The following is a 25,641-nucleotide window of genomic DNA, read 5'->3' as shown; positions in this document are numbered from 1 at the left end:
TTGTTTTGTTTTGTTTTGTTTTTTGAGACGGAGTCTCACTCTGTGGCCCAGGTTGGAGTGGAATGACACGATCTCGGCTCACTGCAACCTCCACCTCCCAGGTTCAAGGGATTCTCCCACCTCAGCCTCCCAAATAGCTGGGATTACAGGCACCCACCATCACGCCAAGCTAATTTTTGTATTTTTGTAGAGACAGGGTTTCACCATGTTGGTTAGGCTGGTCTTGAACTCCTGACCTCAGGTGATCTGCCCACCTTGGCCTCCCAAAGTGCTGGGATTACAGGTACGAGTCACCATGTCTGGCCATATGTGGGTGTTTTCTAATTTAAAAAAAAAAAAAAAAAGGCTGGGCATGGTGGCTCATGCCTGTAATCCCAGCACTTTGGGAGGCCGAGGTGGGCGGATCACGAGGTCAGGAGATCGAGACCATCCTGGCTAACATGGTCAAACCCTGTCTCTGCTAAAAATACAAAAAATTAGCCAGGCGTGGTGGCGGGTGCCTGTAGTCCCAGCTACTCAGGAGGCTGAAGCAGGAAAATGGCATGAGCCTGGGAGGCGGAGCTTGCAGTGAGCCAAGATCGCGCCACTGCACTCCAGCCTGGGTGACACAGTGAGACTCGGTCTCAGAAAAAAAAAAAATTAAAAAAAAAGCAAAAATCAAAAGAAAACCCTCCTGGTTTTGTTCAATGTGAATTTTCTTAAAGATGCTTGCAATTACTGAACATGTTAGCTGGCAATAATGGCCTTTATGTTGATTTGTTTAGTTAAAATAATCTTTGCCCAGAGTCCCTACCTGTTAAAGGTTTACACCATTAGCAAGTTCAGGTTTTCTCTTCATTTGCTTGTTTTCATAGTGGTCACCAAAAACAAAAAGATATTTCATCTGAACTGCTTTGTTAAGAATATGGGTTTAAAAAGATATTTTTCTTGTCCTAGAAAAAATGAGAAAGCAATGATTTCTTTCCTTTGAGAATAACTCATGTTTTTGCCAGATACTGATAGTTTTTTTTTCCCTTTACCCTTGTAATTAAAATTATTTTTAGTGGGTGTCACTTAGAATCCAGGGAGCACTTTGTGTATCTTTAGATTTTTTTTTTGAAACTCAGACAAGTTTCCTTTGATGATGTATTTGAATAATATTATCTATGCATTGATTGTGTTGATGTCTTCTTTAACAGCCTCTATAAATTTCCTAGGTTGGTTCTCTATTCTCTGCCCTCCACACCTAAAGATATTCATTATTATGCATGATCATATGTAGATTAAAGAACAGAAAATTAATAAGCTTTATTATAAATACTTTAGTATCATTCATACTCACATGCTTTTCCTATGTTGTAAATTTACAGCAAAAATAAAGAAGGCCAAATTCATGCTTATCCTTTTAATTCAAGCATTTATCTTTAAAGGTAAAGAAGATACCACAAACATTTAATGAGCCCTTCCTATACTATGTGCTTATCACTTAACTATTCTAAATAATTTTGCAGTTAGGCTTGTAGCAAAGAAACTGATAATAATTTTAAATGATATTATGAGTATCACAATGGAGAAAAATAATCAGATAACTTATCTGACCATGGCTTAGGTTCTTCTCTTGGAAAAATATTTTTGGGTCAGACTGTGGTTGGTCCTTCTCTCTTTAATGCTCTTTCCCCTCTTTGGTCCTCAATTTAGAACTATTTATAGAAGCATCTATTATGATAGATTCTGTCTCTGCATAAGTGATTGTAATTAGCTATATCTCATGAAAGTTTCCTAGGATTGAATAAAATAGAGCCAGAGTTAGCAGCGGCTCAAGTCTGTAATCCCAGTACTTTGCGAGGCCCAGGCAAGAGGAGCATTTGAGGCCAGGAGTTCAAGAACGGCCTGGGCAACAAAGCCAGATCCCGTCTCTACAAAAAAATTAAAAAATTAGCCGGGTATGGTGATGTGCACCTGCAGTCCCAGCTACTTGGGAGACGAGGGCAGGAGGATTGCATGAGCCTGGGAGGTCAAGACTGCAGTGAGCCACAATCTCACCACTGCACTCCAGCCTGCGTGACAGAGTGAGATCCTGTCTCAAAAATAAATAAAAATAAAAATAATGTACTTTAAAAAAGAGAGGGAGCCAGCGCTCACTTTCTGATTTATCATCATGCCATTCATAAATCTCAGAAGCTACTGTTACAGTGAAGTATCTAATGATACTGATTCCTTCTGGTGAATTCTGTTCTGCTTTAATTATATTATATTACAATAAAGGGCATGTTTTTTCTTTTGGGATTTAAAAGAAAAATATTACCCCACTGACACAGATTGATCTATCTAAAATGAGTAGCACGTTCAAAAATTAGTTGTTTTTGTTTACAAAGATGGAATTGTCACCTTTATATGCCACAGCCTCAGTTTTGGAAGTATCTGGTTTTTTATATGGAGTTGAAATATAACCAAGGCAAGTTAGTGCTATGGTCTGAATGTCTGTGTCCCTCACCCCCACCCCCCGCACCATTCATATGTTAAAACATAATCCCCTGTGATAGGATTAAGAGGTGGAGCCTTTGGGAGGTGATTAGGTCACAGGGCCCCACCCTCCAGAATGGGATTAGTGCTCTTGCAAAGGGGGCCTGAGGAAGGTCACTAACCTCTTGTTTGCCCATTCCACCAAATGAGGCTACAAAGACAAGACATCCATTTAATGAAGGAAGTGGCCCTCACAAGATTCCAAACCTGCTGGCAACTTGATCTTGGACTTCCCAGCCTCCAGAACTGTGAGAAATAAGTTCCTATTGTTTATAAGCCACCCAGTCTAAGATATTTTGAGCATTTTGAATAGACTAACAGCTATTGTATTTAATGTAATCCTCCCTTTCCTTCTCAGAAATTCCTATATATTTCTTTTTCATCTGGTCCTTTCTTTCAGCAACTAGTTCCCTACATATAGTAGTTATCAAGCAACTGTTGCATGAATGAGGAACAGATATCTCAAATCTATTTATCTGCAACAGAGTCAACCAAGAAAAAAACAGAATTTGATGTCCAAAATTCAACCTTGTTCATTCTTTCCTCTGACCAGGGAGCCAAAGAAAGATGAAAATATTTTTAAAAAAATTTTTTTAATGCAACCATGAAATTAAAAATGCCAGGTTGGGGATTCTAAATGACAGCAAGTATTATGGGAAAGAAAGAAAGAAAAAGGAAGGAAGGTAGGTGAAAAGAAAGAAGGAAAAAGAAAAGAAAGAGAAGAAGGGAGAGAGAAAGAGAAGAAAAAAAGAGGAAAAGAAGGAAAGAAAGAGAGCAAGAAAGAAAGAAAAAAGAAAAAGAAAGAGAAAGAAAAGGAGGAGGAAAAAGAGGAAGGAAGGAAGAAAGGAAGGAAGGAAGGAACAGGTTGAACTTTTTTGTAAATTCCTGTAAGGGAAAATGTTTGATCCTTAGACCACTGTAAAAACAAGTAAGTGGTTCTGTGGTAATGATTTAGGAAGACACCAAAAGGAGAAAATGTTATTAATATAGGAATTATTATCAGTGAAGAAGTTCTGTTTAGACAGTTGGTAACTTCTGATGAGTCTTGAATCATACAGCCCACAGTTAGCAGACGATCCAAGCCTATCTGCTCATGCACTCCTCTATGCTAATCGCCCTGAAGTTCTGGGGTCCAGGGAATTAACTGTAGGAATTTATAGATTTTCTTGTAAATCTAAAAGCTGAATTTAGGGTCCTGTTGTAGCCTGGGTCATCTGAGAAGCAGCTGCCAAGATGGAATTAGATGTACAAGAGGGAGGATAGAGGCAAAAGGGAGCAAGAGCAGCAGAGTAACCCTAAAAAACTCCTAATAAAGTCTTGGTCAACGAGTAGACATGAGAGGAGTCTCATGTCCAGCAGGAATGGCCAGGGTCTAAGTCCCTTGCAGGGTTCAGTCCTTGGTTGGGAATGGCCTGCAGAGGGCATTGTCTCCAGTGAATGCTGCAGGGGGCAGAGGGTGGCCATCAGCCAACCCCAGGTCTCCTGCAGGCTCTGTTAGTGGAGCTGTGAGGAGCCACCTCCATGGTTCCAGATCCCCGAGCACCTGTAGATCTAATTTTATGTTGAGTTACCCGTAAAGGGCCCAAGACATCCTGGAAAGGTGATTCTACCTAGAAGAACACCTGTGTTCAGTCGCTCTATTAAAGAGAAGGTGAAAATGTTACTGGAAAAGGCGGTCTCCATCCAGACCCCCAGAGAGGGTTCTTGGATCTCTCACTGGAAGGGTGAGAAGGAGATATTTTATTGAAAGCTACTTCTTTACAGAGTAGGGCATCCTCAGGAAGCAAGCAGAGGAAGGCACTGTCTTTAAGTTTTTCATATACGGGGGTCTTGTCTATGTAAAGACTAAACTAAGCTGTGCCTATGTATGGCTGAGCAGACAGAATGAGAAAATTTATTATTCTGTTGACTTAAAGAAAACTATCCTTGACATTCTATTGTGTGAATACATCAAAGCATAACTGTAATATCGCCAATGTTGTAAAACCCCAACTCTACAAAAATTAGCCAGGCATGGTACTGCACACCTGTAATCCCAGCTTCTCCAGAGGCTGAGGTGGGAGTGAGGGGTGAAGCCAGCTGGACTTCCTGGGTCGGGTGGGGACTTGGAGAACTTTTCTGTCTAGCTAGAGGATTGTAAATGCACCAATCAGCAGTCTGTGTCTAGCTAAAGGTTTGTAATTGCACCAATCAGCACTCTGTAAAAATGCACCAATCAGCACTCTGTGTCTAGCTAAAGGTTTGTAAACGCACCAATCAGCCCTCTGTAAAATGGAGCAATTAGCACTCTGTAAAATGGACCAATCAGAGCTCTGTAAAATGGACCAATCAGCAGGATGTGGGCAGGGCCAAATAAGGGAATAAAGGGTGGCCACTTGAGCCAGCAGCGGCAGTGGCAACCCGCTTGGGTACCTTTCCATGCTGTGGAAGCTTTGTTCTTTTGCTCTTCACAACAAATCTTGCAGCTGCCCACTCTTTGGGTCTGCATCATCATTAAGAGCTATAACACTCTCCACGAAGGTCCGTGGCTTCACTCCTGAAGTCAGTGAGACCAAGAACCTGCTGGAAGGAAGAAACTCTGGATACATTTGAACATCTGGAGGAACAAACTCTGGACACAGCATTTTTTTTTTTTTTTTTTTTTTTTGAGATGGAGTCTTGCTCTGTCACCCAGACTGGAGTGTACTGGCATGATCTCGGCTCACTGCAAGCTCCGCCTCCCGGGTTCACGCCATTCTCCTGCCTCAGCCTCCCGAGTAGCTGGGACTACAGGAGCCCGCCAGCACACCTGGCTAATTTTTTGTATTTTTAGTAGAGACAGGGTTTCACCATGTTAGCCAGGATGGTCTCAATCTCCTGATCTCATGATCTGCCTGCCTTGGCCTCCCAAAGTGCTGGGATTACAAGCGTAAGCCACCGCGCCCAGCCAACACACCATCTTTAAGAGCTGTAACACTCACGGCAAGGGTCCGCAGCTTCATTCTTGAAATCAGCGAGACCAAGAACCCACTGGAAGGAATAAATTCAGGACACAGGAGGATCACTTGAGCTCATGAGGTCAGGGCTGCAGTAAGCCATGATGGCTCCACTGCACTCCGGTCTGGGTGACAGAGTAAGACCCTGTCTCAAAAAAAGAAAAAAGAAAAAAGTAACCACTTTCTTTGCTCATCTGTAGGAAGCAATTCCTTACCCATTCAAGTTTTATCTTGAGCCATGCTCTCACTGCAGCACTCCAGTCTGGGCAACACAGCAGGATCCTATCTCAAAAACAAAACTTGGGTCACTTTCCTGGTCATTCATGGACAAACATATGCTCAAGAGTGGCAAAAATTTGAGTTGCCCACCTGGCACATTCCCAGCTGAGTTGAAACAAGGTGACAACGCTGCCTTCTTGTTTCAACTCTCCCACTGCAAACAAATGTTCTTTACAAAATCTATTTAGTGCCACATTGTTCCTATTTTGTGCGTTTGGGTGGTGATTTTGCCTGTGAAATGGCCCCCAAGCATGGTGCTTGAAGGGCGATCTAGTGTTTCAAGTACAAGAAAGTTGCAATGTGCCTTACAGAGAAAATATGTGTGTGAGATAAGCTTCATTTGGGTGTGAGAGTGCTGTTGGCCAGGAGTTCATGAATGAACAACATATATTAACCAAGATGTCTTTAAACAGAACTACCTGTAAAACAAGAGTTAATGAATGAACAACATGTATTAAATAAGTGTCTTTAAACAGAACCACACATAAGACAAGGCTACGTATTGATCAGTTTACAAAAATATTGGGACAGAGGCTCTCAGGATTCTAACCCTGTATTTCTCCTGTGAGAAAATTCAGTGATCACAGTGACCTTATGAAACACGACTACTGGCCAGGTGCCATGACTCACACCTGTAATCCCAGCACTTTGGGAGGCCGAGATGGGCGGATCACCTGAGGTCAGGAGTTCGAGACCAGCCTGGCCAACATGGTGAAACCCCGTCTCAACTAAAAATACAAAAATTTGCCAGGCGTCGTGGTGGCACATGCCTGTAATCCCAGCTACTCAGGAGGCTGAGGCAGGAGAATTGCTTGAGCCCGGGAGGCGGGGGATGCACTGAGCCGAGATCATGCCACTGTACTCCAGCCTGGGTGACAGATTGAGACACTGTCTCAAAAAAAAAAAAAAAAAAAAGATAATGAGAAGAAAACTATGTTAAAAAGTCAGCATGAGGCTGGGCGTGGTGGCTCACACCTGTAATCCTAGCACATTAGGAGGCAGAGGCTGGAGGATCACTTGAGCCCAGGAGTTCAAGACCAGCCTGGGCAACATGACGAAACCCTGTCTCTACAAAATATACAAAAATTAGCTGGGTGTGGTGGCATGTGCCTGTATTCCCAGCTACTTGGGAGGCTGAGGCACAAGAATTGCTTGAACCCAGGAGGCGGAGGTTGTAGTGAGCCAAGATGGCACCATTGCACTCCAGCTTGGTCAACAGAGTGAGACTCCGTCTCAAAAAAAAAAGAAAAAAGTCAACGTTATATGCAGTGGCAAAATTCTAGAGTAGAGGCCATAAACTGATAGGCCTACTACTCTGTCCGGCCCAAACACTGTAACAAATCATTCCAATTTAGTTGCAAACACTGAAAATTGCAGTGCCCGGTAATGAAACTTCCACAAAGGGGTGATTCCAAAACACCTGACTGACAGTGCTAAATTACTGCTTGGCCCTGCAGGCATTTGAGTTTGTAACTTGCACTCCCGAGGCATTCTTTTTAGTTCAGAAATATTACAAAGAGGCCCCTTTTTTCCTATTATTTTGAAAGTATTGATAATATATTAAGGCATAATTAAAATCTTAGTAGCTAAATGTTCTCGCCACGAAAACCAAAACTCAGAATACCCATAACTAGTTGAAGTGATAGACATGTTAACTTACTTGATCATGGTCATCATTTCACAACATATTGTACACCTTAAACTGACACAACTTTATTTGTCAATTACAACTCAATAAAGCTGGAGAAAAATAAAAAGAAAACTAAGATTCATAAGATTATTGTGAATAAGATAAACATATAGCTCCTAATGATGCACTCAAGTATTTCAACACGGAAAACAGAAGATAATTTCCCCTTCATTTCATCTTTTAAAAAATGTACACTAAATACAGTCAATTCTCATTATGCATGGTAGTCATGTTTTGTTTTTTGTTTTGTTTTGTTTTTTTGAGACAGAGTCTCACTCTGTCATCCGGGCTGGAGTGCAGTGGTGTGATCTCGGTTCACTGCAACCGCCCCTCAGTTGAAACAATAGAAAAAGAGGGAATCCTCCCTAACACATTTTATGAGGCCAGCATCATCCTGATACCAAAACCTGGCAGACACAACAAAAAAAATTTCAGCCGGGTGCAGTGGCTCACGCCTGTAATCCCAGTACTCTGGGAGGCTGAGGCAGGTGGATCATGAGGTCAGGAAATCGAGACCATCCTGGCTAACATGGTGAAAACCTGTCTCTACTAAAAATACAAAAACAAAATTAGCCAGGCATGGTGGCGGGCGCCTGTAGTCCCAGCTACTCAGGAGGCCGAGGCAGGACAATGGGGTGAACCCAGGAGGCAGAGCTTGCAGTGAGCGGAGATGGTGCCACTGCACTCCAGCCTGGGCAACAGAGCAAGACTCCATCTCAAAAAAAAAAAAAAAAAAAAAAAAGAAAGAAAATTTCAGGCCAATATCCCTGATGAAAATTGATGCAAAAATCTTCAATAAAATACTGGCAAACTGAATCCAGCAGCATATCAAAAAGCTTATCCACCACGATCAAGTTGGCTTCATCCCTGGGATGCAAGGCTGGTTCAACATACACAAATCAATCAGCGTAATCCATTACATAAACAGAACCAACAACAAAAACCACGATTGTCTCAATAGATGAAGAAAAGGCCTTCAACAAAATTCAACAGCCCTCATGCTAAAAACTTTCAATATACTAGGTATTGATGGAACGTATCTCAAAATAGTAAGAGCTATTTATGACAAACCCACAGCCAATATCATACCGAATGGGCAAAAACTGGAAGCATTCCCTTTGAAAACCGGCTCAAGACAAGGATGCCCTCTCTCACCACTCCTATTCAACATAGAGTTGGAAGTTCTGGCCAGAGCAATCAGGCAAGAGAAAGAAATAAAGCGTATTCAATTAGGAAAAGAGGAAGTCAAATTGTCCCTGTTTGCAGATGACATGATTGTATATTTAGAAAACCCCATCATCTCAGGCCAAAATCTCCTTAAGCTGGCCGGGCACGGTGGCTTACGCCTGTAATCCCAGCACTTTGGAAGGCTGAGGTGGATCATGAGGTCAGGAGATCGAGACCATCCTAGCTAACATGGTGAAACACTGTCTCCACTAAAAGTACAAAAAACTAGCTGGGCATGGTGGCAGGCGCCTGTAGTCCCAGCTATTTGGGAGGCTGAGGCAGGAGAATGGCGTGAACCTGGGAGGCGGAGCTTGCAGTGAGCTGAGATTGCGCCACTGCACTCCAGCCTGGGCGACAGAGTGAGACTCTGTCTCAAAAAAAAAAAAAAAAAAAAAAAAAAAAAAAAATCTCCTTAAGCTGATAAGCAACTTCAGTCATTTCAGGATACAAAATCAATGTGGAAAATATCACAAGCATTCCTATACAGCAATAACAGACAAATAGAGAGCCAAATCATGAGTGAACTCCCATTCACAATTGCTACAAAGAGAAAAAAATACCTAGGAATCCAACTTACAAGGGATGTGAAGGACCTCTTCAAGGAGAACTACAAACCACTGCTCAACGAAATAAAAGAGGACATAAACAAATGGAAGAACATTCCATGCTGATGGATAGGAAGAATCAATATTGTGAAAATGGCCATACTGCCCAAGGTAATTTATAGATTCAATGCCATCCCCATCAAGCTACCAATGACTTTCTTCACAGAATTGGAAAAAACTACTTTAAAGTTCCTATGGAACCAAAAAAGAGCCCACATTGCCAAGACAATCCTAAGCAAAAAGAACAAAGCTGGAGGCATAATGCTACCTGCCTTCAAACTATACTACAGAGTTATAGTAACCAAAACAGCATGGTACTGGTACCAAAACAGATATATAGACCAATGGAACAGAACAGAGGTCTCAGAAATAACACCACACATATGCAACCATCTGATCTTTGACAAACCTGACAAAAACAAGAAATGGGGAAAGGATTCCCTATTTAATAAATGGTGCTGGGAAAACTGGCTAGCCATATGTAGAAAGCTGAAACTGGATCCCTTTCTTACACCTTATACAAAAATTAATTCAAGATGGATTAAAGACTTAAATGTTAGACCTAAAACCATAAAAACTGTAGAAGAAAACCTAGGCAATACCATTCAGGACACAGACATGGGCAAGGACTTCATGACTAAAACACCAAAAGCAATGGCAACATTGTTCAGCTCCCACTTATAAGGGAGAACATGTGGTGTTTGGTTTTCTGTTCCTGCATTAGTTTGCTGAGGATAATGGCTTCCAGCTCCATCCGTGTCCCTGCGAAGGATGTGATCACATCTCGTTCCTTTTTATGGCTGTGTAGTATTTCATGGTGTATATGTACCACATTTTCTTTATCCAGTCTATCACTGATGGGCATTTAGGTTGATTCCGTGTCTTTGCTATTGTGAATAGTGCTGCAATAAACATATGTGTATATGTATCTTTATAATAGAATAATTTATATTCCTTTGGGTACATACCCAGTAATGGGATTGCTAGGTCAACTGGTATTTCTGGTTCTAGATCTTTGAGGAATCACCACACTGTCTTCCACAATGGTTGAACTAACTTACATTCCCACCAGCAGTGTAAAAGCATTCCTATTTCTCCACAGTCTCACCAGCATCTGTTGTTTCTTGACTTTTTAATAATCGCCATTCTGACTGGCATGAGATGATATTCATTGTAGTTTTGATTTGCATTTCTCTAATGATCAGTGATGTTGAGCTTTTTTCATGTTTGTTGGCCACGTGAATGTCTTCTTTTGAAAAGTGTCTGTTCGTATCCTTTGCCCACTTTTTAATAGGGTTGTTTGTTCTGGTTCTTGTATATTTGTTTAAGTTCCTTGTAGATTCTGGATATTAGACTTTCGTCAGATGGATAGATTGCAAAAACTTTCTCCCATTCTGTGGGCTGTCTGTTCACTCTGATGATAGTTTCTTTTGCTGTGCAGAAGCTCTTTAGTTTAATTACATCCTATTTGTCAATTTCTGCTTTTGTTGCAATTGCTTTTGACATTTTCATCATGAAATCTTTGACCAGTCCTATGTCCTGAATGGTATTGTCAAGATTTTCTTCTAGGGTTTTTACAGTTTTGGGCTTTACATTTAAGTCTTCAATCCGTCTTGAGTTAATTTTTGTATAAGGTGTAAGGAAGGGGTCCGATTTCAATTTTCTGCATATGGCTAGCCAGTTCTCCCAGCACCATTTATTAAATAGAGAATCCTTTTCCCATTGCTTTTTTTGGTCAGGTTTGTCAATGATCAGATGGTTGCAGATGTGCAGTCTTATTTCTGAGTTCTCTATTCTGTTCCATTGGTCTATGTGTCTGTTTTTGTACCAGCACCTTGCTGTTTTGGTTACTGTAGCCTTGTAGTGTGGTTAGATGTCTGTTAGTGTGATGCTTCCAGCTTTGCTCTTTTTGCTTAGGATTGTCTTAGCTATACGGGCTCTTATTTGGCTCCATATGAATTTTAAAGTAGTTTTTTCTAATTCTGTGAAGAATGTCAATGGTAGCTTAATGGGACTAGCATTGAATCTATAAATTACTTTGGACAGTAAGGCCATTTTCATGATATTGATTCTTCCTATCCTTGAACATGGAATGTTTTTCCATTTGTTTGTGTCCTCTCTGATTTCCTTGAGCAGTGTTTTGTAACTCTCCTTGAAGAGGTCCTTCACTTCTCTTGTTAGCTGTATTCCTAGGTATTTTATTCTCTTTGTACCAGTTGTAAATGGGAGTTCATTCATGATTTGGCTCTCTGCTTATCTGTTGTTGGTGTATAGGAATGCTTGTGAATTTTGCACATTGATTTTCTATTCTGAGACTTTGCTGAAGTTGCTTAAGAAGCTTGTGGCCAGGTGTAGTGGCCCATGCCAGTAATCCCAGCATTTGGGGAGGCTGAGGCAGGTGGATCACCTGAGGTTAGGGGTTCAAGACCAGCCTGGCCAACATGGCAAAACCCTGTCTCTACTAAAAATACAAAAATTAGCTGGGTGTGGTGGCACACACCTGTAGTCCCAGCTACTTGGGAGGCTGAGGAACAAGAATCGCTTGAACCCAGGAGGCAGAGGTTGCAGTGAGCCAAGATCATGCCATTGTACTCCAGCCTGGGTGACAGGGCAAGACTCTGTCTCCAAAAAAAAAAAAAAAAAGCTTTTGGGCTGAGACAATGGGGTTTTCTAGATATAAAATCTGCAAACAGAGACAGTTTGACTTCCTTTCTTCCTATTCTAATATCCTTTATTTCTTTCTCTTGCCTGATTGCCCTGGCCAGAGCTTCCAATACTATCTTGAATAGGAGTGGTAAGATGGGGCATCCTTGTCTTGTGCCAGTTTTCAAGGGGAATACTACCAGCTTTTGCCCATTCAGTATGATATTGGCAATGGGTTTTCATAAATGGCTCTCATTATTTTTATGTGTGTTCCATCACTACCTAGTTTATTGAGACTTTTTAATATGAAGGGATGTTGAATTTTATCAAAGGCCTTTTTTCATCTAATGAGATGGTCATGTGGTTTTTGTCTTTAGTTCTATTTATGTGATGAATTATGTTTATTGATTTGCATATGTTGAACCAGCCTTGCATCCCAAGGATGAAGCCAACTTGATCGTGGTGGATAAGCTTTTTGATGTGCTGCTGGATTCTGTTTGCCAGTATTTTATTGAGAGTTTTTGCATTGATGTTCATCATGGATATTGGCCTGAAGTTTTCTTTTTTTTATTGTATCTCTGCCAGGTTTTGGTATCAGGATGATGCTGGCCTAATAAAATGAATTAGGGAGGAGTTCCTTCTTTTCAATTGTTTGAAATATTTTCAGAAGGGTCCCAGCTCCTCTCTATGTCTCTGGTAGAATTCAGCTATAAATCTGTCTGATCCTGGGCTTTTTTTGGTCTGTAGGCTATTTATTACTGCCTCAATTTCAGAACTTGTTATTGGTCTATTCAGGGATTCAACTTCTTCCTGGCTTAGTCTTGGGAGGGTGTATGTGTTCAGGAATCTATCCTTTTCTTCTAGATTTTCTAGTTTATTTGCATAGAGGTGTTTATAGTATTTTTGTATTCGTATAGTATTGTTTGTATTTCTGTGGGGTCAGTGGTGATATCCCCTTTGTCATTTTTTATTGTGTCTATTTGATTCTTCTCTCTTTTATTCTTTATAAGTCTAGCTAGCAGTCTATTTTATTAATTTTTTCAAAAAACCAGCTCCTGGAGTTGTTGATTTTTTTGAAGGGTTCTTTCTGTCTCTATCTCCTTCAGTTCTGCTCTGATCTTGGTTATTGCTTGTCTTCTGCTAGATTTGGGGTTTGTTTGATCTTGGTTCTCTAGCTCTTTTAGTTGTGACATTAAGATGTTGATTTCAGATCTTCCCAGCTTTTTTATGTGGGCCTTTAGTGCTATAAATTTCCCTCCTAACACTGCTTTAGCTACATCTCAGAAATTTTGGTACATTGTCTCTTCATTCTCATTGGTTTCAAATAACTTCTTGATTTCTGCTTTAATTTCATAATTTAGCTGGGAGTCGTTCAGGAGCAGGTTGTTCAATTTCCGTGTATTTGTGTGGTTCTGAGTGAGTTTCTTAGTCTTGAGTTCTAATTTGATGGCACTGCGGTCTAAGAGACTTTTTGTTATGATTTCAGTTCTTTTGCATTTGCTGAGGAGTGTTTTACTTCCAATTATGTGATTGATTTTAGAGTAAGTTGCCATGTGACATCAAGAAGAATTTATATTCGATTGTTTGGGGGTGGAGAGTTTTGTAGATATCTATCAGGTCCACTTAAGCCAGAGCTGAGTTCAAGTCCTGAATATCCTTGTTAATTTTCTGTCTTGATGATCTGTCTAATATTGACAGTTGGGTGTTAAAGCCTCCCACTATTATTGTTTGGGAGTCTAAGTCTCTTTGTAGGTCTCTAAGAACTTGTTTTATGAATCTGGGTGCTCTTGTACTGGGTGCATATATATTTAGAATAGTTAGGTCTTCTTGTTGAATTGAACCCTTTACCATTATGTAATGCCCTTCTTTGTCTTTTTCGATCTGTGTTGGTTTAAAGTTGGTTTTGTCAGAAACTAGGATTGTAACCCCTGCTTTTTTCTGCTGTCCATTTGCTTGGTAGATTTTCCGCCATCACTTTATTTTGAACCTATGTGTGTCTTTGCACATAAGATGGGTCTCTTGAATATAGCACACTGATGTGGCTTGACTCTTTATCCAGCTTGCCATTCTGTGTCTTTTAATTGGGGCATTTAGCCAATTTCCACTTAAGGTTAACATTGTTATGTGTGAATTTGATCCTGTCATCATGATGCTAGCTGATTATGTTCCAGACTTGTTGAGGTAGTTGCTTCATAGTGTCACTGGTCTGTGTACTTCAGTGTGTTTTTGTAGTGGCTGGTAACATTTTTTCCCTTTCCATATTTAGTGCTTCCTTCAGGAGCTCTTGCAAGGCAGTCTTGGCAGTGACAAATTTCCTCAGCATTTGCTTGTCTGAAAAGGATTTTATTTCTCCTTCACTAATGAAGTTTAGTTTCGCCAGATATGAGATTCTGGATTGGAAATTTTTTTATTTAAGAGTCTCCCTCTCCCTCTCCCTCTCCCTCTCCCTCTCCCCACGGTCCCCCTCTCCCCACAGTCCCCCTCTCCCCACGGTCTCCCTCTCCCTCTCTTTCCACCGTCTCCCTCTGATGCCGAGCCGAAGCTGGACTGTACTGCTGCCATCGCGGCTCACTGCAACCTCCCTGCCTGATTCTCCTGCCTCAGCCTGCCGAGTGCCTGCGATTACAGGCGCGCGCCGCCACGCCTGACTGGTTTTCGTACTTTTTTGGTGGAGACGGGGTTTCGCTGTGTTGGCCGGGCTGGTCTCCAGCTCCTAACAGTGAGTGATCCGCCAGCCTTGGCCTCCCGAGGTGCCGGGTTTGCAGACGGAGTCTGGTTCACTCAGTGCTCAATGGTGCCCAGGCTGGAGTGCAGTGGCGTGATCGTGGCTCGCTACAACCTCCACCTCCCAGCCACCTGCCTTGGCCTCCCAAAGTGCCGAGATTGCAGCCTCTGCCCGGCCGCCACCCCGTCTGGGAAGTGAGGAGCGTCTCTGCCTGGCCGCCCATCGTCTGGGACGTGAGGAGCCCCTCTGCCTGGCTGCCCAGTCTGGAAAGTGAGGAGCGTCTCTGCCCAGCCGCCATCCCATCTAGGAAGTGAGGAGCGCCTCTTCCCGGCCGCCATCCCATCTAGGAAGTGACGAGCGTCTCTGCCCGGCCGTGACCCCGTCTGGGAGGTAAGGAGTGTCTCTGCCCGGCCGCCCCATCTGAGAAGTGAGGAGACCCTCCGCCTGGCAACCGCCCCGTCTGAGAAGTGAGGAGCCCCTCCGCCTGGCAGCCACCCCGTCTGGGAAGTGAGGAGCGTCTCCGCCCGGCAGCCACCCCATCCGGGAGGGAGGTGGGGGTCAGCCCCCGCCAGGCCAGCCGCCCCGTCCGGGAGGGAGGTGGGGGGGTCAGCCCCCCGCCCGGCCAGCCGCCCCGTCCGGGAGGGAGGTGGGGGGGTAGCCCCCCACCCGGCCAGCCGCCCCGTCCGGGAGGTGAGGGGTGCCTCTGCCCAGCCGCCCCTACTGGGAAGTGAGGAGCCCCTCTGCCCGGCCAGTCGCCCCGTCCGGGAGGGAGGTGGGGGGCTCAGCCCCCCCGCCCGGCCAGCCGCCCCGTCCGGGAGGGAGGTGGGGGGGTCAGCCCCCCACCCGGCCAGCCGCCCCGTCCGGGAGGTGAGGGGTGCCTCTGCCCAGCCGCCCCTACTGGGAAGTGAGGAGCCCCTCTTCCTGGCCAGCTGCCCCGTCCTGGAGGGAGGTGGGGGGGTCAGCCCCCCGCCCGGCCAGCTGCCCTGTCCGGGAGGTGAGGGGCGCCTCTGCCCGGCCGCCCCTACTGGGATGTGAGGAGCCCCTCTGCCCGGCCACCACCCTGTCTGGGAGGTGTACCCAACAGCTCATTGAGAAAGGGCCGGGATGACAATGGCGGTTTTGTGGAATAGAAAGGCGGGAAAGGTGGGGAAAAGATTGAGAAATCGGATGGTTGCCGTGTCTGTGTAGAAAGAAGTAGACATGGGAGACTTTTCATTTTGTTCTGTACTAAGAAAAATCCTTCTGCCTTGGGATCCTGCTAATTGGTGACCTTACCCCCAACCCTGTGCTCTCTAAAACATGTGCTGTGTCCACTCAGAGTTGAATGGATTAAGGGCGGTGCAAGATGTGCTTTGTTAAACAGATGCTTGAAGGCAGCATGCTTGTTAAGAGTCATCACCACTCCCTAATCTCAAGTACCCAGGGACACAAACGCTGTGGAAGGCCGCAGGGTCCTCTGCCTAGGAAAACCAGAGACCTTTGTTCACTTGTTTATCTGCTGACCTTCCCTCCACTATTGTCCTATGACCCTGCCAAATCCCCCTCTGCGAGAAACACCCAAGAATGATCAAAAAAAAAAAAAAAATTTAAAAAATCAAAAAAATAAAAATAAATAAAATGTTGAAAAAAAAAAAAAAGAGTGTTGAATATTGGCCCCCAATTTCTTCTGGCTTATAGGGTTTCTGCTGAGAAGTCCACTGTTATTCTCATGGGGTTCCCTTTGTAGGAGACCTGACCTTTCTTCTTTCATTTTGACCTTGGAGAATCTGATAATTATGTGTCTTGGGTTGATCTTCTCATGGAGTATCTTACTGGGGTTCTCTGGATTTCCTGAATTTCAATGTTGGCCTGCCTTGTTAGGTTGGGGAAGTGCTCCTGGATAATATCCTGAAGTATGTTTTCCAACTTGGTTCTGTTCTCCCCATCTCTTTCAGGTGCCCCAATCAGTCGTAGGTTCAGTCTTTCTACATAATCTCATAGTTCTCAGAGGTTTTGGTCATTCCTTTTCATTTTTTTCCCCCTCTAATCTTGTCTGCTTGTCTTATTTCAGCAAGACAGTCTTCAAGCTCTGAAATTCTTTCTTCTGCTTGGTCTGTTTGGCTATTGATACTTGCGGTTGCATTGTGAAGTTCTTGTATTGTGTTTTTCAGCTCCATCTGGTCATTTATGTTCCTCTCTAAACTGGTTCTTCTGGTTAACAGCTACTGTAATGTTTTCTCATAGTTCTTAGCTTCTTTGCATTGGGTTAGAACATGCTTCTTTAGCTCAGCAAAGTTTGTTATTACCTACCTTCTGAAGGCTACTTCTGTCAGTTCATCCATCTCAGCCTCAGGCCAGTTCTGTGCCATTGCTGGAGAGGTGTTGCAATCATTTGGAGGAGAAGAGGCTTTCTGGCTTTTTGAGTTTTCAGCATTTTTGTATTGATTCTTTCTCATCTTCCTGATTTTATCTGGCTTTGGTCTTTGACGCTGCTGACCTTTGGATGGAGTTTTTGTGGGGACATTTTTGTTGATGCTGTTGTTGTTGTTGCTTTGTTCGTTTTTCTTTTAACAGTCAGGTCCCTCTTCCACAGGGCTGCTGCAGTTTGCTGGGGGTCCACTCTAGACCTTATTCCTCTGGGTTCTTCCCACCCCTGGATGTGTCACCAGTGGAGGCTGCAGAACAGCAAAGATGGATGCCTGTTCCTTCCTCTGGGATCTCTGTCCCAGAGGGGCACTCACCTGATGCTAGCAGAAACGCTCCTGTATAATGTCTGATGACCCCTGCTGGGATGGGGGGCAGGTCTCACCCAGTCAGAAAGCAAGAGATCAGGGACTTGCTTAACCAAGCACTCTAGCTGCCACTTAGCAGAGAGGGTGCACAGTGCTGGGGGTTATCCCACTCCCAGACTGCCCAGATTCCACAGAGCCAGCAGGGGGAAAGACTAAGTCTGCTGATCTGCAGAGACTGTGGCTGCCCCTCCCCCCAGGGGTTCCATCCCAGGGAGATCAAAGTTCTGTCCATAAAACCCTGGCTGGAATTGCTGAAGCTCCCACAGGGAGGCCCTGCCCAGTGAGAAGATATGGGTCCAGGTCTGGCCTAAAGAGGCAGTCTGGCCACGATCTTCCACAGCCACTGTGCTGCGCTGTGGGGAATTGCCCCTGGGTCCAAACCGCCCAGTCTCCCCAGCACCAGCAGGGGAAAACAGCAGACTGGAGCTGCAGTAATGCCAGCTGCCCCTTCCCCTGGGAACTTGGTAATCTTAGCGGCTGACAAGAACCTACGCAGCTCTGTACTTGCAACCCAAGGCTCTGGTGGTGTGGGCTCACAAGGGGATCTCCTGATCTGTGGGTTGCACAGATCTGTGGGAAAAGCATGGTTTCCCAGGCAAGGTAGCACAATCACTCACCACCTCCCCTGGCTGGGGGTGGGAGCTGCTCTTGCTCCATGTGGCTCCCGGGTGGGCTGTCACTCAACCCTACCTTTCCTCGCTTTCTGTGGATCATGCCAACCACCTAGTCATTCCCAATGAGAGATTCTGGATACCTTAGTTGCCAGTGTAGGATTCATTCACCGTTTTCGTTCATCTCAGTGGGAGCCTCGAACCGCAGCTGCTTCGAGTCAGCCATCTTGGTCCTTGGCTGGGTATTTGGCTACTGTCTCATGTCTCTTCACATTGCAGGGCTCTTTCTCTTGCTACAGACAGGTGATCAGGTCTGGCTTGGAGATAGTGACACCATTTCTTGGCTTCAGGGGTGCCCTGGAGTCTTAGCTATGAATCTTCCAAAACCAGCAGTTCGCAGAGCGGTGGAGGCTGAGGCTGTGGCAGAATCACCTAGACCTCCTGGAGTAGAGGACACAGGGCAGTGAAGACCTAACCCTGAGCTCTGGATGGAGTGAGAGACAAAAGCAGGTATGCATTTTGACTAACTGCCCACTTAAAAAATTGGGAGGATAGGCAGAGATATTTCCATTGAGCTGGCAATCTATAATACAGAAGGGTCCTCAATGTATTCTGAATGGTTTGCCCAATTCTCTCTACAGAAATTGTTGCAGACATTTCAGAGATAACATGCCCAATTTTCATGCAGTCTTACTTATTTTTATGTGGGAGACATAGTGCACATGTAATCTCTCTTTGTTTGGTAATTGGATGTGACCGAAGGATATATATGACAAGATTTAAGAAAGAGACTGAGAAAGAAGATGGAGAAATTTTGAAAGGGATGAAGAATAACTTGGACACTTGACAATTTGGCCTGCAACAGCACTGGCCATGCCATGTAGATTGTTAGCTTGTGAGTCTTTTGTTGTTGTTGTTGTTGTTTGTTTTTTTTGAGACGGAGTCTGGCTCTGTCGCCCAGGCTGGAGTGCAGTGGCACGATCTGGGCTCACTGCAAGCTCCGCCTCCCGGGTTCACTCCATTCTCCTGCCTCAGCCTCCCGAGTAGCTGGGGCAACAGGCGCACGCCACCACGCCTGGCTATTTTTTTTGTATTTTTAGTAAAGATGGGGTTTCACCGTGTTAGCCAGGATGGTCTCGATCTCCTGACCTCATGATCTGCCCGCCTCAGCCTCCCAAAGTGCTGGGATTACAGACGTGAGCCACCGCACCTGGCTTGTGAGTCTTTTAAGCATGTATTCCATTAGTTGTCAATCTCTGTTATAAAGACAGAAGATAAAGTAAAGGCTACCCAAGTACTATTCCATGCTTGGAGTCCTGTAAGTTTATTTTCAATTACATATTGTATATCCTGGGATATTTCTGAAGTTTCTAACTTATCTAGTACAAGTAGAATCCCAATGTCAAACATTTGGTCGATGGTAAAATTGTCATATTGTATCTAAAATTTGCTTAAAAATGTATATCTGTTGCTAAACTGCATGTGGATGATACAAAAGTGTTTTTTTAAACTTTTAAAATAAAGATTTGACATCTGCTCTATTAATTTACCATATTAACAATCAGTAACAAAGTATGGCTTTTAAAAACTTAACAAAATATATTTAACCCTCCTAAAGGTATTATAATATGTATATACTATAATGTACTCTTAATGAAATGGCTTCTTTTAAAGTATTGTCTTGGTCATTTGAAGAGGAAAAGCTGTAAACCTTGTCGAAGAGGCAGCTTAGTGTGGTAGAAAGGACATTGAACTAGGGGCCCAGAGCCCCACTTTTAAGCTTCATCTTTTTTCTTGCCAGCTATGAGAACCATAAGCAAGCCCTAAGCCTCTCTGAACTTCATTTTCCTCATCAGTAAAGTTAGAGGCTTGGGTTTCATGACTTCTGGGGTTTGCTTCCACTCTAACCATCTATGATTGTGTTTATTTTTATTCTTAGAGTGCTTCCTACATATTGTTAGACTCAATGATAAAAATTGTAGTATAAGAAAATAACAATCATTTTTTAACTGGAGACCTACAGGATGTGAAATTATTCTTGTTGGTATAAAAATGAAAATATGTTTTATTATGGAAAACCCTTTAAACACAGACTAACCTATGAGCCATCATATCCACAGATAAATTGAAATATGATAATCTTATAAAGAATCCCATATACTGTATATGTGAATTAAACTCCTTTTTAGAAGTTGCAACATTTCCATAGAGTCTCTCTGGGGAGTTGTTTGTTTTTTGTTCTTTGTTTTTCTTTTTTCTTTTCCTTAAGTAAAATATTCTCAAGTTAACAGTTAAATCTTCAGTTAAATATGAAAAATTTCACACATATTGGTCTCCTTGGGCTGCCATAACTAAATACCATACACTGGGTAGCTTAAACAATCAACATTTATTGCTAACAGTTCTGGAGGCAGGGAAGTCCAAATCAAGATGCCAGCTGATTTGGTTTCTGGTGAGTTCTCTCTTCCTGGCTTGCAGATGGCAGCCTTCCTGCTGTGTCACATATTGAAACAGTTACTGAATATAAATTCTTATCATTCATAGACAGGCTACTAAAAGGATGACAACTTTTTAAAAATTTTTTTGTAGAGACAAAGTCTCCCTATGTTGCCCAGGCTGGTCTTGAACTCTTGAGCTCAAGAGATCCTCCTGCTGTGGCCTCCCAAAGTGCTGAGATTACAGGGGTGAGCCACTGTGCCTGGACAGGATGACAACGGAAAATACTTGTTCACTGTACGTTTATTGAGTTTCTCATTTAAATCAATCAATGGATCAATATCAACATGTCATTTAGCAGTCTAAATTTTATGGCAATATTATGTAAGCATTAATCCATTGATTGATTTAAATGAGAAACTCAATAAACATACAGTGAACAAGTGTTTTGATTATATTAAACCCATTAGAATCTTGGTGCACCCCCGCTATCCCTACAACTTAAGTTAATAGAACATCTGGGAATGAAATGCAAGGTTTTAATTTTACTACAACTGCTTTTCATGTTTAAAACAATTGTTGATACAAAGCATTCAGGTGATGACATCCATGTAACCAAGGTGAGTGAAGCTGAACCCTACTAGGAAGAAATAAGATTCAAGTAAATAATGTGTATTAGTTATGTAGGCTGGGTGTGATGGCTCATGCCTGTAATCACACTTTGGGAGGCTGAGGCAAGATGATCTGTTGAGGACAAAAGTTCAAGACCAGCCTGGGCAACATAGTGAGACCCCATCTCTACATAAAATATTTTTAAATATTAGCCAGGCATGATGACACACACCTGCCGTCCTAGCTACCCAGGAGACTAAGGCAGGAGAATTGCCTGAGCCCAGAAATTCAAGACTGCGATGAGCTATGATTGAGCCACTGCACTCCAGCCTAAGCAACAGAGTGAGACCTTGTCTCTAAACAAACAAAAAAAAAAGAAAGAAAGAAAAGAAAAAGAAGAAAACCTAAGAAATATAAATAAAAAGTGAAATAGTGAAGCTAAAGAAAAACAAATATATTGAATTCTATGTCAATTAAAAAAATGTCTATTAAGAATGAGAGAAAAATGGAAATATTTTTAGACAAATAAAAGCTAAGAGAGTTTGCCAGGATCAAAATCCACTATAGGAAATTATAAAAGAAGCATTTCTGGCAAAAGGAAAATGATCCCATATGAAGGGTCCGAGTTGGGAGAAAAAAAATAAAGGTAAAATAGGTAACAATAAGTGGGTAACTCCAAATGTATTAAACAAGAAAAAGAATGTCCTGTAGAGTTCTAAGTAGATATACAGTACTAAGCAAATATTAGCAATAGGATAGTTGGTTTGACCATAATGATATCAGATCAAATTGACTTTAGGGCAAAAACCAATACCAGAGATAATGATAGTCACTTTATAATAATAAAAGGTCAATTAACCAGGAAGATACAACCATTTAAAATTTGTACTGTAGGCCGGGCACAGTGGCTCACACTTGCAATCCCAGCACTTTTGGAGACCAAGGTAGGAGGGTCCCTTGAGCCCAGGAGTTCAAGACCAGCCTGGGCAACATAGAGAGACCTCGACTCTATACAAATAATTAATTAATTAATTAAATTTGTACTGTAGTCCCAGCTACCTGGAAGGCTGAGAAAGGAGGATCGCTTGAGCCCAGGAGTTCAAAATCAGCCTGGGCAACATAGCAAGACCCTGCCTCTAATGTTTAAAAAATAAATGCACCCAGGCACGGTGGCGCATGCCTGTAATCTCAGCACTTTGGGAGGCCGAGGTAGGTGGATCACTTGAGGTCGGGAGTTCCAGACCAGCCTGGACAACATGGTGAAGCCCCATCTCTACTAAAAACACAAGTTAGCTGGGCGTGGTGGCGCATGCCTGTAATCCCAGCTACTCAGGAGGCTGAGGCACGAGAATCACTTAAACTCAGGAGGTGGAGGTTGCAGTGAGCTGAGATTATGGCACTGCCCTCCAGCCTGGGCAACACAGCAAGACCCTGTCTCAAAAAATAAATAAAAATATATACGTGTGTGTGTGTGTATATATATATATATAATCAGTTTTGAGACATACTTTGTCAGAGATATCTGCTATTGCCTGCATATTATCTTCTGGATTATAACCTGGCACTTTTATCATAATTATGAAGGTGGCTAGGTTTCCAGTAAATATCAGCATTTTATATGGACAAAAGCAGTTAATAAAAATCAGTTCATTTACTATAAGCCAAATGTGCTTGTTCTTAATCTCACCCTTTCCCAAAGTTTTTGAAGCTTTGATGTGTTGGTTTTTGGTCTGTCCTTAATATAAAATGTACTTACAGACACTTCTGCAGTTAACCCTGAAATTACAAATTGATGACACTTCAAGGCAAAGCAGGAGCATTATCTGTTCCTTCAGTGTCCCCTCACTGAATTCTGACTTCTGCTGCTCCATCATACCATCTGGCTGAACGCTGACATTTCATAGTTTACCACTGTAAAGACACCGACCTATGTGAGTTTAAAAGTGATCTGCACAATCTGTGAAATTTTATATACAACAAATTGGTTTTTAAAAATACAAAAATAACATCGGTCTTTTTTTTTTTTTTTTTTTTGAGATGGAGTCTTGCTCTGTTGCCCAGGCTGGAGTACAGTGGCACGATCTCAGCTCACTGTAACCTCCGCCTCTTGGGTTCAAGCGATTCTGCTGCCTCAGCATCCCAAGTAACCGGGATTACAGGCTTGCACTACCATGACTGGCTAATTTTTGTATTTTTAGCGAAACGGGGTTTCGCCATGTTGACAGGCTGGTCTTGATCTCCTGACCTCAAGTGATCCACCCACCTCGGCCTCCCAAAGTGCTGGGATTACAGGCGTGAGCCACCGGCACCCGGCCACATCAGTCACTTTTGTCATGCTGACAATTTGACATATAGACACATGCAGGAGAAAAGTTCCAATTTAGTCATCTGAACAACTGTAGCTTCTATATTTTTAATATGACAAACACTGCCACTGAGTTTTCACTCTGACAACTCCTTAAAAATTGACCATATACTGCCTGTGAAGTAGTCTCAGCAAATTTCAAAGGATGGTAATGATTTAGATTTGTTCCCTCACCGCACTGCAGTTAAACTAGAAATCAATAACCAAACAACAACATAAAAGCTACTCCCTACGTGTGGGAGTCAAAAATGAAATCATAGTGATCTTATAGAACATTGTTAACAGAATGATAAGGAAAATACTTCATATCAAACCTGGTTGGGGATGTAACTGAAGCAGTTTTAGAGGAAAACGTTTCATCTTCAAAGTGTATAGAACGGGCCAGGCACGGTGGCTCACGCCTGTAATCCCAGCACTTTGGGAGGCCAAGGCGGGCGGATCACAAGGTCAGGAGATCGAGACCATCCTGGCTGACACGGTGAAACCCCGTCTCTACTAAAAATACAAAAAATTAGCCGGGGACTATGGCATGTGCCTGTAGTCCCAGTTACTCGGGAGGCTGAGGCAGGAGAATGGCATGAACCCAGGAGGCGGAGCTTGCAGTAAGCTGAGATCACACCACTGCACTCCAGCCTGGGTGGCAGAGCGAGACTCCATCTCAAAAACAAACAAAAAAAAGAGTGTATAGAACAGAGGTTCTTTTTTTTTTTTTTTTTTTGAGATAGTGGTAAGACTATAAACAAAAGCAAGAAAGTTATTGCCGTGAAAATTCAGAAAAGGGCCAGGCACAGCGGTTCATGCCTATAATCCCAGCACTTTGGGAGTCTGAGGCAGGTGGATTGCTGGAGTCCAGGGGTTCCAGACCAGCCTGGGTAACAGGGTGAGACCGCATCTCTAAAAAACAATAAAATTAGCCAGGCGTGTGGTGCATGCCTGTAGTCCCAGCTACTCAGGAGGCTGAGGTGGGAGGATTGCTTGAGCCCAGAATGTTGAGGCTGCAGTAAGCCATAATCGCCACTGCACCACTGGGCTCCAGCCTGGGTGACAGAGTAAAACCCTGTTTCAAACAAACAAACAAAAAAAGTCAACATAGTGGTTACATTTAGGGGAAGTAATTTTGAATAGGAAGAGACATGTAGCAGCTTCTGAAGTGCTGGCCAAGTTTTTTTGTTTTTTGTTTTTCTGAAGTGCTGGCCAAGTTTTGTTTTGTTTTTGTTTTTGAGGCAGGGTCTTGCTTTGTCACCCAAGCTGGGGTGCAGTGGTGTGATCATAGCTCACTGCAGCCTTGACTTCCTGGGCTCAAGCTGTCCTCCCACCTCAGCCTCCTGAGAAGCTGGGACCACAGGCATAAACCTAGCCTAGCTATTATTTTATTTTATTTTATTTTTATTTTACTTTATTCATCTATTTTACTTTATTTTGTTTTACGTTTATTTTATTTTATGTAGAGACAGGGTCTTACTCTGTTGCCCAAGCTGGTCTCAAACTCCCAGGCTTAAGCAATTCTCCTGCCTCAGCCTCCCAAAGTGCTGGGATTACAGGAATGAGCCACCACGACCAGCCCTGGGCAAGTTCTTTTTTCTTAATTGGCAGGTGTTTACACGGTTGTTTGCTTTATAATATTTTCATTAAAATTGTTTTGTTTATTCATTTATTTTTCTAGAGATGGGGTCTTGCTACATTGCCCAGGCTGGTCTCGAACTCCTGGCTTCAACTGATCCTCCCACAGACATGAGCCACCACACCTGGCCCAAATTTTATTTTGAGATAATTATAGATGTACATGCAGTTGTAAGAAATAATATAAAGAGATCCCATGTACTTTTTACCCAGTTTCCTCCAAGGAAGGAACATTATATTACAATTTTATAATATAATACAATATAATATAATGACACAATATAATACTGTATTATATCATAATACAGTATTATATTGTAAAACTATATATAGTTCTATATCACAGTCAGGATATTGACACTGATACAGTCAAGATACAGAGCATTTCCACTACCCTCCTCTTGCTGCTTTATGGCCATACCCACTTCCCTGCCACTCCATAACTCTCACCTCCTTAACCTCTGGTAACCAGTAATCTGTTCTCCATTTCTATAATTTTTTTTTTTTGAGAGAGGGTCTTTATCATCCAGGCCGGACTGCAGTGGCGCAATCTCGGCTCACTGCAGCCTTGACCTCTCAG

The 25,641-nt window shown here is 42.9% G+C and overlaps 1 long non-coding RNA gene across 3 annotated transcripts in view, besides 3 other annotated features; it reads left to right on the top strand.

Annotated features, from left to right (window-relative positions):
• LOC101928957 (uncharacterized) overlaps positions 1–25,641 on the top strand; it is a 57,307-nt gene that overhangs the window by 5,052 nt on the left and 26,614 nt on the right. The window contains exons 2-3 of one of the 3 annotated variants that reach the window (XR_002957619.2): positions 18,379–18,538; positions 18,670–18,921. The exons of the other annotated variants lie outside the window; for them this stretch is intronic. This is a non-coding gene — a long non-coding RNA (uncharacterized LOC101928957). Of the gene's footprint in view, positions 1–18,378; positions 18,539–18,669; positions 18,922–25,641 lie in introns of those variants that run through there. 3 annotated transcript variants of the gene reach the window in all.
• Positions 2,381–2,882: an enhancer, noted in NCBI's record as "NANOG hESC enhancer chr14:92036233-92036734 (GRCh37/hg19 assembly coordinates)". NCBI's record gives its function as "activates a minimal SCP1, AML or CMV promoter by ChIP-STARR-seq in naive H9 embryonic stem cells {active_cell/tissue: H9 hESC(naive)}" and the evidence as "EXISTENCE:reporter gene assay evidence [ECO:0000049][PMID:30033119]".
• Positions 14,663–15,204: an enhancer, noted in NCBI's record as "H3K27ac-H3K4me1 hESC enhancer chr14:92023911-92024452 (GRCh37/hg19 assembly coordinates)". NCBI's record gives its function as "activates a minimal SCP1, AML or CMV promoter by ChIP-STARR-seq in primed H9 embryonic stem cells {active_cell/tissue: H9 hESC(primed)}" and the evidence as "EXISTENCE:reporter gene assay evidence [ECO:0000049][PMID:30033119]".
• Positions 15,205–15,746: an enhancer, noted in NCBI's record as "H3K27ac hESC enhancer chr14:92023369-92023910 (GRCh37/hg19 assembly coordinates)". NCBI's record gives its function as "activates a minimal SCP1, AML or CMV promoter by ChIP-STARR-seq in primed H9 embryonic stem cells {active_cell/tissue: H9 hESC(primed)}" and the evidence as "EXISTENCE:reporter gene assay evidence [ECO:0000049][PMID:30033119]".

The sequence above is a fragment of the Homo sapiens genome, chromosome 14 (assembly GCF_000001405.40).
Source record: "Homo sapiens chromosome 14, GRCh38.p14 Primary Assembly".
In the NCBI taxonomy this organism is placed as follows: domain Eukaryota; kingdom Metazoa; phylum Chordata; class Mammalia; order Primates; family Hominidae; genus Homo; species Homo sapiens.
The sequence above is the reverse complement of the archived record's forward strand: the minus strand, read 5'-3'. Positions and strand labels throughout refer to the sequence as shown.